Below are 12,421 nucleotides of genomic sequence, written 5' to 3'. Positions count from 1 at the left end.
CGCGCGTCGTGGAACGTCTTGGTTGCCACGGCAAGCGCGCGCGCGAGGCCTTGGGAACCTCGGGACCGGCCCCCGGCGAGCGCAGCGGCGCCCAGTGTAAGGGAGTGGGAGCTGGTCCGTGCCGCGGCGGCCGCGCAGGGAGCTCTCGAGGCAACGCCGGGGCGCCCGAGGTCTGGAAGGCGCAGGTGGGGCGCGGGGGAGTTCACCCCTGCGCGGTCCCTTGGGTGGGCGGGGTGGGCGCCCCAGGCCCCGCGGACTCGGCTGGGAGGCTGAGCGGGCGACGGTCACGGGACAAGGGTGGAGGGGGTGGGGACCTCATCCGAGTCTCAGAGATGGAATTTTCGAGGAAGGGAGCGATTTCGAGAGAGAATAGTTTGAGAAGTTGTTCTCAGTCCCTTCTCTCGCGGGAGTGTGGTATTTAGGGAAGCTTCGGCCTCTTAACCCATGGACTGTTAGGATGGAGGGAATCCTTCCCGCTCGATTCCTATCGCGGAGTCCTTTCGGAGCATCGCTATTGATCATTCTCGCCGCCCCAACCCCGTTGTTTACTTTGGCTTCGCAGATCTCTGTGGTCTTTTGCCCTCCCGCAGCGCCCATGGCCCCGTCAAGGTTGGGCAGCCTTTCTCTGCAAGAAGGCCCACGAACAACTGCGGTTATATTGGGATGGATTGCGCGTGATTTTACTCTTTACAATACATTCTTTCATGCTTCCTAGGGATTGAGCTGCGCGGCGGATCCCTCCGACTTAATTCTGGGCCTGAGAAAAGTTTCTCTTGGAATGCGCAGTTTCGTGACGCAGCATTATTGCGTGACTCTAGGGCTGACCCAGTTTTTCACTTTCTAATTGTAAGGAAGTGCGCTAGTAGTCCACCGAGGATCCTCGAGGTTGGCCTTATTGTATCATAATTTAACGAATTTGCGTTCCAGGTTGTTACAGCCTTTGAAATAATGGCCTCATATTTAAGAATGTAGCAATTTTTCTTTGAAATTTCCGAAAGTGGGGAAAAAAGTAATAGAAGACTGCACCTATATGGAATTATTTTCTGATTCGCAGTTCTTTATAATCGTAGACTTAATTTGGTGGCTTTATTGGACCTGTTTGAAACAGGAAGCCTTTCTGTAATGTGGTTTCGGGTCGGCTTCACCTCTGGCACTCTCTGAAACGTCGTTGTCTATGGTTTCCCTAAGAAGCTAGAATGAGCGGGATGCTACGGAGGGAGGTGTATACAGGTGTTAGACAAAGCCCCCTCCGCTTTTTTGGTAAAGGGCCAAATAGGCATTAGATCAACTTGTGCTAGCTCTAAGGAGTTAAATGCGGTATTATTAAAGACTGCTTGTAATGTTGACTGTTAAGTGAGAGTGTTACTTCTTTCAGTGTTTATGGAATCGAACTAAATTGCTAGGTATTTTAATGCAGAATTTTACCTTTTCTCGGGTATTTTTTAAGACATACACAGACATACATGTAGTTATGTTGAAATAAATGTGTTTTATTAGAACGTTAAAAAATTAGAATTTAGGTGAACTACTGGTATCGGAACAGATTTTGGTTTGTTGTTGAAGACTGTACACTGGTGTAGGTACTGTTTAATACATCAGATTGTCATTTCAAAGACTTTGTCTTCTTAACTTTGAAAATTAAATAATGTGAAATAATGTGATAATGGTTTTTATCTTTTCAGGACACTTGATTGACACTTAATTGTGCTTAGGAATAGAATAGGCTTTTTTTTAAGTCACCATCCTCCAATCCTTATTTCTGTAAAATGTATTTTCTGAGACCGCTGAGGATATAGCAAATCCCAGTCACAAAATAAAAATGTGATATTTTAATATAAACCTTTTTCTTTCTGTGTTGAGATTCCCCAGAGATTAGACTGAAATTGACCATTAGACTTATATATAACCTCTAGATACCCAGGCTCTTCTCTCGTGTATCCTTTTTTTCTCTTTAAGATGGAGATGTAGCAAGGAAGGTTATTAAGCAATCCTGTGGAATTAGCCCTCCCACTCCACCCCTACACACAGGCACACTCTTCTTTCTCAGTAGCCATCTTGTTCCCTCCATTGACACATTATTAGGAAATCTTTCATCACACCGTATGTAAAATAAGCTTAGAAATAAACGTATACCCAAGGTAAATATTGCTTCTAGCTATATTCCTTCATTATGCCTCGCTTCTACTTTCAAATGCTACCTATTGAAGATTTAAGCCACATGACTTTCTACGACGGGACACTCTGGGTTTTCTTCACCCCTCCCTCACTCTGCTGACTTGTAAACATAGTAGGACTTTTAGATTTGGAATCAAACACATCTCATCTAATTTTCATTTTCATTTTTCTTTTCTTTCTTTCTTTTTTTTTTTTTTTTAAAGAGACAAGGTCTTGCTCTGTCACCCAGGCTGGTTGGAGTGCAGTGGTGCAGTCATAGCTCACTGCAACCTTGAACTTCTGGGCCCAAGCGATCCTCCGGCCTCAGCCTGTGCAGTAGCTGGGATTACAGGCGAGAGCTCATTTAATTTTCTTGACAGATAATCTTCTGATCCATGAACTGATTTGAATGTATCATTTACTAGCTCTCTTCTTGGGCAAGCTGCTCAATATTTGTAAAACATTTTTAAAATCAGATATCAACCTCCAAGAGTGAGGATTGGATAACCTTAGAAGGGTGCCAGACACATATAGAGAGCTTAACAAAAGATAGTAAATTTTGGTGCTTCTGAGGGCCAGAGACAGACCATGTCCATTATATCTTTGCTATATATTATAGTTGTGAGTGATTTTTAAAGCAGTACTTTTAATTTGCTTGTGAACCCCCAAATAATTTTTGTAAAACTGTCCCTCTTGCACACTTTTGGTTAACTTACAGCATTTTACATCATGCGTTAGTTGAAAAGAATGCAGTTTCCCACATGGTATTGATATTAACATTTTAATATTGGTACATCATTCTTTCACCTGTATTCAGTGGGGTATCATATCTTTGTAGTTTTATATCCATCACCATCAATTTTTAAAATACATTATATTTTACACACTTCCTTTTTTAAAAAATTTTACTTTTTTATCACCCCCACCCCACAGAATATTATCTTAAGGTAATGCATTTTTATGCTTGAAAGCTTTTTATTAATCTCTGTGATACATGGCTTTAATAACAATAGTTATATAAATTGAAGCTAAGTTTAAAAATTTCCTATAACTAATTCTGTAAGTTGTAATTTTTCTTTTGGGTTGAGTTATTATAAATAGTTGATTAGAATAGCTTAAAAACTTGATGGATTTTAATGAATAATAATTATTAAGAGTAGAAGTTTACTGGAAATCTGTGTCCTAATGGAATGGATAGTGGGAGTTGTGCCTAAATTAAAGGAGGGTCTTTGAGCCCTTCGACTTATTGTTTGTTGGTAGGGAGGCTTTTCCATCCTGGGGCAGTGTACCATAGTAAGAATAGGAGTGGGTGAGAAGTATGCCTTTATTTTGTAAAGTGGAAGATTGTGAAAGGATCTTGGGGAATAAAAATCAGCATGATAACTGGACAATGGGCATATTCTCAGGCAGATCAGTTTAGTGAGAAGTACTCATGGGAGTAAAGGATCTGGAAGCCTTTTTCTTAAAATTACACATGTCGTTGGTGTATGTCCCATGGAAGACTTCATTTGTCCTGGGGGGCACACATCCCCCAGTTTGAAGACCATTTAGAGTGGTAATTCTCAGTGGGGGACGATTTTGCTGCCCAAAGTACATTTGGCAATGTCTGGAGACGTTTTTGGTTGTCACAACCGGGATGAGGGGTGGTGCTGCTATGGGCATCCAGTGGACAGAGATCAGGGATGCTGCTAACAAAGCATTATCCAACCCAAAATGTCAACCATGCCAAGACTGAGAAACCCTGATTTAGAGGATTTGTTTTGGAATCAGACTATTTAATTCTGTAAACTAGTGCAGGGTCAGTAAACTTTTTTTGTTAAGTGCCAGATAGTAAATATTTTAGGCTTTTGGGGCCATGTATGATCTCTGTTGCACATTCTTCTTTGTTTTTATAACCTTTAAAAAATGTAAAAGTAATTCTTAATTCCAGGGTCTTTCAGAAAACAGGTGATCTAAGGCAATTAATGCTTGCAAACTTCAATTTTCTTCTCTGCAAAGTAGTACTAATAGTAATATTGCATCAAGAATTGTTTGTAAGGATTGAGATAAACACCTAGCATACTGTCCAGCATATGTTAAGTACTCTAAATGATGCGTGGGGATAGTGGTGTCCTATCGTATGTAGCACAAAAGTGGGTGCCAAGTCACAGTGTTGTTCAAGACCCTGTTCAAGTCATTTGGACAAATTTAATGATGCTGGTGAAGCTCCCAATCAACTCACAGATGCCTATTTAACCTCTGCTGTCTTTCTGCTGCCTTAGTCTGGGCCTCCTTGTATCCTGAGGAAGATAAAATACAAAATGCCTGTCTTGTGGTTTCTTTGGAAAGATGTGGCAATCTTATGACACAACAGGATAGTATTCCAGGAGAAGAGATTGTTAATATTGATAGGGGTTGTGGGGTAGAGCAAATACGTGGGTCTGTATATGGTCAATTGTATATGGTATTTTCTAAATTGGGTACTGAATATATTCTGTTGACTACCATGAAGTTGTTGCATAATAAGGCTGACTAGTGGCACTTCAGGTTAGAAAGTATAGTTATATTATTAATCGGAAGCTAGACCAATTTTAATGAATGCTTTCTGTGATGCTTCTGTGCTTTCATAGTGTAGATTGCTGCTAAAATAGTTTCATATCAGTGAAATTCTTCTATCGTAAGTTTTCATGAGATCACAGGAAAAGAATTGCCACATCTAATGACAGTAGCCACTAGGTACATGTGGATATTGAGCACTTGCAATGGGGTTAGTTGGAATTGAACTATCTTTTCAGTGTAAAACACATACTGAGTTTTGAAGACTTCATACCAAAAAAAAGAAAGCTAAAATATTTAACTGAAAGTTTTTATATTAACTGCATATTGAAATAATATTTTTGATATATTTGGATAAATAAGATACTATCATTGAAATTAACTTCACCTGTTTTTTACCTTTTTAATGTTATTAGAAAAGTATAAATTACATATGTGGCTTGCATTACAGTTCTGTTTGACATAGTTGCTCTAAAGCTTCCATTTACTTTTTTAATAGTAATTAAATTTTCTATCATACACATAGATTTAAGAAAAATCTTACCCCTTCCTCCCAAAGTCAGCTTGTATCATTTTTCTTACCCAATTCTTTTGGTCTTTTTTGTACTCTAAACAGTGCGAATATATTGGCACTTTTTCAGTTTTAGGCACTGTCCATTAACTTCTCAGTGAGAAAGATGAAGTTTTATCTCTTTCATCCTTTGTCGCATGCACATAAACTTTTTATCCATCCATCTTCCCATCTTTCAATATGGTTGTACCATAATTTTGTTTATATTGAGATTCATTGTGTATATTATGACACCAATCAAAACTGAAACATTTAGTACATTATGATTACTTTTTATTTCTTGCTCAACATCATTTTCCCTAGAGTTAATCCTTAGTTTTTAATTATTACTAATGGAACCCTGAATACTCTCACAGTTGTGTAGATCTTTTTTCAGAGCTTACAATCACATTAGGTATTCTATCAGTTTTACTTTCTTAAAAAATTCTTTTCTGTTGTCTCCTACTCCACCCTGGAGTGTTTGCCTAATTGTTATCTTGGAAACTCATCATCAGTCTTGGGATTCCTTTCATCAAACATGGTACCCAGCAAACAGAAGATGTAATAACTGAGCAATCACTTGGCTGGGTTTAGAAGCTATTTTTACTCAGAATTATGAATTAAATGTATAATTTCCTTCTTCTATTGTTGCCTTTAAGAAGTTCCTTAGCACTCTTACTTCTCTCTCTTTTTTTGTGTGTAAGTATTTTAAAGATGATCCTTTTGAGCTTAGTGTTCTAAAATGTCATGGTATGTTTCTTGGTGTGAAATCTTTTTTTCTTATTTATTTATTTATTTTTATTTTTTTGAAACAGAGTCTTGCTCTGTCGCCCAGGCTGGAGTGCAGTGGTGTGATCTCGGCTCACTGCAAGGTCCGCCTCCCGGGTTCAAGCAATTCTCCTGTCTCAGCCTCCTGAGTAGCTGGGACTACAGGCGCCTGCCACCACGCCTGGCTAATATTTTTGTATTTTTAGTAGAGACAGGGTTTCACCTTGTTAGCCAGGGTGGTCTCGATCTCCTGACCTTGTGATCTGCCCACCTCAGCCTCCCCTTTTTTTCTTATTTTTTGCCCATTGGTTTTTTTATTTACTTTTATTTGTTAGAGATGGGGTCTTGCTCTTTCAACCCAGGCTGGAGTACAGTGGTGTGATCATAGCTCACTGCAGCCTTGAATTCCTGCACTCAAGTGATTCTCCTGCCTCACTTCCTGAGTAGCTGGAACTACAGGCACGCGCCAGCATGTCTGGCTAATTTTTTGATGTTTTCTTTGTAGAGCTGGTCTCACTATGTTGCCCAGGCTGATCTCAAACTCCTGGACTCAAGCGATCCTCCTGTCTCAGTCTCCTAAAGTGCTGGGATTACAGGTGTCAGCCACTGTGCCCAACCTGTTGGTCTTTTTAAATTAGGAAATTCATGTTTTCCAATTCTAGGAAATTCTATGAATTATTTCTTTAATTCTTTCATCCCTTATTTTTTCTCTGTTCTCTATTTCTAGGAGGTTTTTTGTTTGTTGGTTGGTTTTTTTTTTTTTTTTTTTTTTTTTGATGGAGTCGTGCTCTGTGAACAGGCTGGAGTGCAGTGGCATGATCTCGGCTCAGTGCAACCTCTGCCTTCCGGGTTCAAGCAATTCTCCTGTCTCAGCTTCCTGAGTAGCTGGGGTACAGGTGCATGCCATGATGCCCTGGAAATTTTTTTGTATTTTTAGACGGGGTTTCACCATATTGGTCAGGCTGGTCTCGAGCTCCTGACCTCAGGTGATCTGCCCGCCTCAGCCTCACATATTTCTAGAAGTTTTATTATTCAAATGATATGCCTTATAGACTGGGTCCTAATTTTCTTATTTATTATTGCCTATTTTTCATCTCTGTCTTTTTGCTCTGCTTTCTGGGCATTTTCTATAATTGTATGACCTCATCCTTCTTGAGTTTTTCCTTCCTGCGTTTTAAATATTTAATTTCCCGGAGTTCCTTTTGTCACTCGAATATCCTTCTTTCAGTATGCACGCATCCCACTTTTTATTTTATGGATGCGATATTTTCTTTTTCTTTATGTTGATATAAATGATAGGGTTTTTTTTTTTACGTTTCCTGCACATTGTCCATTTCAACCAAATTACATTGCTCTTCTTTTAATCCTTTATACTGGATGTTTGCCTCATGTTTTGTGATCCTGGGCTGTGTGTGTGTCTGTGTGTGAGTGTGTGCGTGTGAGTGAAGCACTAGAAAGCTGATCTGAGATTCTATGGGTGGAACCTATCAACTATGGCTTCTGAACGGTGAATTGCTTGGACAGTTTTCCTTAGGGAACTCTCACTGTCACTATTCTTTGTGTCTTTCTTCTTGGTGATGATCAGATTCCTCAAGAAGATAACTTCCAATCTCCTTTCTTGAGGGGTACCTGGCAGCCAAAACTCTAATTACCAAGTTGTGGGGAAGAAGGCTGTGGGTCTCAATAATCAATGTGTAACATTTCACTTAATCCCCCTGCTTTTGGTTTTTACCCTTAATCATGCCTGATAGTTTCTTATCCTCACTTTATTTTACACTCTTCTAGATCAAAGCACTCAGTCTTTCAGGGCTGTAGAGAAACAGCGTCCTGATTGCTTGGTGTAGGAAAGATCTGAGGGTGCTAATTTGTAAATAGGCTTTCAACCAGTCCTCTTTTTTCAGCTCTTTGTCTACTTCCTTTCCATAGGAAGATTGAATTCCATCAATTCTTATGCCTTTGGAGGTTCTTGATGTGACGTAAGTGCAGCTGCGTCTCTGATTTTCCCACTGACAGTTTAAAGCATCTGTTTTCTCAAGTGTGTTTTGGGAGTTTTCACTTGTCTGCCTCCTTTTTTGACACCAAGTACTGTTGACTTTTCATCTTCCCTATTTGTCCTTGTGAGTTATGGCTTTATTATTTATCTGTTTTATTGAGGAATCACATAAAATGCATATAGTACCCTGATCTTAAATGTATAGTTTAATGATTTTTATGTATATATACAGTAGTCCCCCCTAACCCCTTATCCAAGGGAGATAAGTTGCAAGACCCCTAGTGGATGCCTGAAACCATGGATAGTGTGGCACCCAATTGCTTTCAATTGGAACATGTTTCTGTTCATATCTCAGCCTTTTCCATCTTAACTAAACACTTGTCACATGCTTTGACCATAAGTTTTGCAGTTTGAGGGACAACAGCAAAACTGGCACTAATTTCTTTTTCCTTCTTCACAATTTCAGGAATAGAAAATATGTTATTAATGGTAGATCTTAGCAACCTCAGCATATGATTTTTTTTCTTGTTAAGTTGAAAACTTTAACCTTTTCACTTGAAGGAAGCACTTCACAGCTTTTCAGTGTATCAAAATTGCCAGCATCACTACTGTTGCACTTTGGGGCCATTATTAAGTAAAAAGAATTAGTTGAATCCAACCACCACAATATCGGAACAGTTGATCTGATAACCAAGATGGCTACTGTATTAGTCCGTTTTCACACTGCTGTAAAGAACTGCCCAAGACTGGGTACTTTATAAAGAAAAGAGGTTTAATTGACTCAGTTCTGCGTGGCTGGGGAGGCCTCAGGAAACTTACAGTCATGGCGGAAGATGAAGGGGAAGCAAAGACCTTCTTCACATGATGGCAGGAAAGAGAGAGCTAGCAAAAGCTGGAAAAACTGCCTTATAAAACCATCAGATGTTGTGAGAACTCACTATCAGGAGAACAGCATGGGGCAAACTGCCCCCATGATCCAGTCATCTCCCACGGGGTCCCTCTCTTGACACCTGGGGATTATGGGTATTACAGTTCAAGGTGAGATCTGGGTGGGGACATCGCCAAACCATATCAGCTACTAAGTGATCATGGGAGGGGAGCATAGACAGCATGGATGCCCTGGACAAAAGGATGATTCATGCCCCAGGGGGCACAGAGAGAGACAAGAGGAGATTTAATCATGATACTGAGAATGTGCAATTTAAAATTTATGAATTATTTATCTCTGTAATTTTCCATTTAATATTAATATTTTCAGATCATAGTTGACTGCAGGTAACTGAAACCACAGAAAATGAAACTATACATAAGTGGGGACCACTGTACACCCTTGTAGTCATCACTCAGATCAACAAGAGAACATTTCCAAAGGCCATGAGATTCCCTCCTGTACCTGTGAAGTCTGTAGCCTCTACCTATAAGCACTATTTTGATTTATGTCATATCATAGACCAGTTTTTCCCATTTAATTCATTCATGTAGAATCATAGTATGTGGTCTCAATATGAAGTCTTTTGTATTTGGCTTTTCCTCAAAGAATTGGTGAGATTCATTGATGTTGCAGGCAATCAGGTTTAAAATTTTTTTTCTGTGTATTATTGCATTGTATGAATGAGTGAGCATTTGGGTTGTTTTAAGGATTTGCTTTTTGTGAATATAGTTGCTGTGAATATTGCCATACATGTTTTTGGCATGCACATGCATCCATTTCTCTTGGTTATATACCTGCAAGTGGAATTGTTGGGTCATTGAGTGGGTGTTTAGCTTTAGTAGAAACTGCCGGTTTTCCAAAATGTTGTATCATTTTTCAGCTTTCACCAGCAAGGTAGAAGAGTTCCACTTGTCTTCACTTAGCACTAATCAGTCTTTTAAATTTTAGCCATCTGTTAAGTGCCTAGTTGGTATCACTCGATTTTAGTTTCACTTTTCTGAGGGAATAGTATGTTGAACACCTTTTCAGATGCTTTTTAAAGATTTTCTTCTGTGAAGTGCCTATTCATGTATTTTTCTCACTAAGAAAAATGGTTGTTCCTTTTTCATAATCTTTCCAGAGTCATCTTAGTGGGATTTGGGGAAGCAACAGGGCTGTGTGGGGTAACCTGCCACCTTTAAGTGGAAATCAGGTAACAAAGTTTCATTCACTTTTTTTTTCTCATTTCTGTTTTCCCCAGTCTATGATTCAATTCATTTTTTATTGGCTGGATATAATCTGGATTTATATTATAATGAATTTTAGAATGAGACTCTTGTTTCAACCATAAGGATGTATGATAGGAAACTATTATAAGAAACCAGAACAAGAAAATTATTTAATAGATGTATTCTGATTTATTCTCTTATGTTTTTAAATTAAGATATTTTGGACCAAGAGTTTTCATTTATTTATCCATTCATCAAATACATGTTAAGTGCTTTCTTTATGACAGACCTAATAGTAGGCTTAAAGGATAGTATAATAGTGAACAAAACAGAGATAAGCGAGGCACTTGTCCTCTTAAAATATATTCAGGTAGGAGATACGAATCATAAGTAAACAATAGCTAAGCAAGATAATTAAATATGTCTCCAATTTTGCAGAAATGGAGCAAGAGCCACAAAATGGAGAACCTGCTGAAATTAAGATCATCAGAGAAGCATATAAGAAGGCCTTTTTATTTGTTAACAAAGGTCTGAATACAGATGAATTAGGTCAGAAGGAAGAAGCAAAGAACTACTATAAGCAAGGAATAGGACACCTGCTCAGAGGGATCAGCATTTCATCAAAAGAGTCTGAACACACAGGTCCTGGGTGGGAATCTGCTAGACAGATGCAACAGAAAATGAAAGAAACTCTACAGAATGTACGCACCAGGCTGGAAATTCTAGAGAAGGGTCTTGCCACTTCTCTGCAGAATGATCTTCAGGAGGTGCCCAAGTTATATCCAGAATTTCCACCTAAAGACATGTGTGAAAAATTACCAGAGCCTCAGTCTTTTAGTTCAGCTCCTCAGCATGCTGAAGTAAATGGAAACACCTCAACTCCAAGTGCAGGGGCAGTTGCTGCACCTGCTTCTCTGTCTTTACCATCACAAAGTTGTCCAGCAGAAGCTCCTCCTGCTTATACTCCTCAAGCTGCTGAAGGTCACTACACTGTATCCTATGGAACAGATTCTGGGGAGTTTTCATCAGTTGGAGAGGAGTTTTATAGGAATCATTCTCAGCCACCGCCTCTTGAGACCTTAGGGCTGGATGCAGATGAATTGATTTTGATACCAAATGGAGTACAGATTTTTTTTGTAAATCCTGCAGGGGAGGTTAGTGCACCTTCGTATCCTGGGTACCTTCGAATTGTGAGGTTTTTGGATAATTCTCTCGATACGGTTCTAAACCGTCCTCCCGGGTTTCTTCAGGTAAGCGAAAGAAAAATGAAAGCATAATTTGAAATACGTGTAGACTACATCATTTTTATTTGTTAATGTTTATGTGTCCAGTATAAGTGCAAAAAGATAACGACAAATTCTACTTTGTTTTTAAATATATTCCATGAAATTATGAGCCTTGAACATGTTTGTGTTTGTCTTTTTCTTTTTTTAAAAAAGATATATTAATAGTTTTATTTTGGTATTAAGTTTGTGATGATAAAACTTGAGAAGAGTGGTCATCCTTACATTTTTAATTCTTTATCTGAAGAAGAAATCTAATAAGTTTAATTTCGAAAGGGATTTATGTAATTCCTGTGGATGTATAGCTGTAAATATTCACAAATGTTGTCAAGACTCAGCTGAGGGTCTGAACTGGGAGAGACCGAGCCCATGGTCCAGAACAGTTGTTCTCAACCCAGGGTAGTTTTGCCTCCCCAGAGAACATTTGACAATGTCTGGAGGCATTTTTGGTTGTCATACTGGAAGTTGATTGCTACTGGCATAGTGGATAGAGGCCACGGATGCTGCCACACATTTTCACAGGACAGCCCTCATGAACAAAAAAAAATTATCCTGCCCAAAATCTCAACTATGCCAAGGTTGAGAGACCTTGGTTTAGAAGTCGAGACTGTGGTGATAATTTAAGATGTAATTCCAACAGTCCAAGCAGAGAAATTTACCAGAATGCACTTGGTCTAAGAGTAAAGAGTGCTACATAAAGATTGATGTCAGGGCATTGCTGTGGATTTAGTGAGGTACTCTGAAGAGAGTGGTCCAGTGACAGTCTCGTTTTAAAAGATTGGATGTAGGTATAGGAAGATGAGTTCTTGAAATGAGGACTCAGTATACGTTGAATATAACAAAGGAGTTTGCATTGAAGAAAGATCACTATTTAAGCAAAACAGATGTTTTGTCCACAGTCCAAATAATGTGGTTTAGTAATAGCACAGCTTATCTCTATTCATTTTCTCTTTTGGTATTCTCTCCTGTTGATTCTTATGTAGTTTTTATATGAAGTCA

At 39.0% G+C, this 12,421-nt stretch overlaps 1 protein-coding gene across 16 annotated transcripts in view, besides 1 other annotated feature; it reads left to right on the top strand.

Moving 5' to 3' along the window:
- SPART (spartin) overlaps window positions 1–12,421 on the top strand; it is a 68,543-nt gene that overhangs the window by 23,771 nt on the left and 32,351 nt on the right. For 2 of the 16 annotated variants that reach the window (XM_005266314.4, XM_047430211.1), the window contains exons 2-3: window positions 10,052–10,123; window positions 10,578–11,389. In XM_005266314.4, the coding sequence (XP_005266371.1) occupies window positions 10,580–11,389 (810 nt within the window). In that variant the 5' untranslated portion in view covers window positions 10,052–10,123; window positions 10,578–10,579. Of the gene's footprint in view, window positions 1–15; window positions 186–276; window positions 610–835; window positions 1,231–10,051; window positions 10,124–10,577; window positions 11,390–12,421 lie in introns of those variants that run through there. The other 14 variants (XR_007063671.1, NM_015087.5, NM_001142294.2 and 11 more) reach the window with 12 other exon arrangements.
- Window positions 118–167: a silencer, noted in NCBI's record as "silent region_5263". NCBI's record gives its function as "represses an Ori minimal core promoter by ATAC-STARR-seq in GM12878 lymphoblastoid cells {active_cell/tissue: GM12878}" and the evidence as "EXISTENCE:reporter gene assay evidence [ECO:0000049][PMID:35858748]".

This window comes from Homo sapiens, chromosome 13 (genome assembly GCF_000001405.40).
Source record: "Homo sapiens chromosome 13, GRCh38.p14 Primary Assembly".
In the NCBI taxonomy this organism is placed as follows: domain Eukaryota; kingdom Metazoa; phylum Chordata; class Mammalia; order Primates; family Hominidae; genus Homo; species Homo sapiens.
Note: the sequence above shows the minus strand (reverse complement) of the source record. Positions and strands in the feature narration are given on the sequence as shown.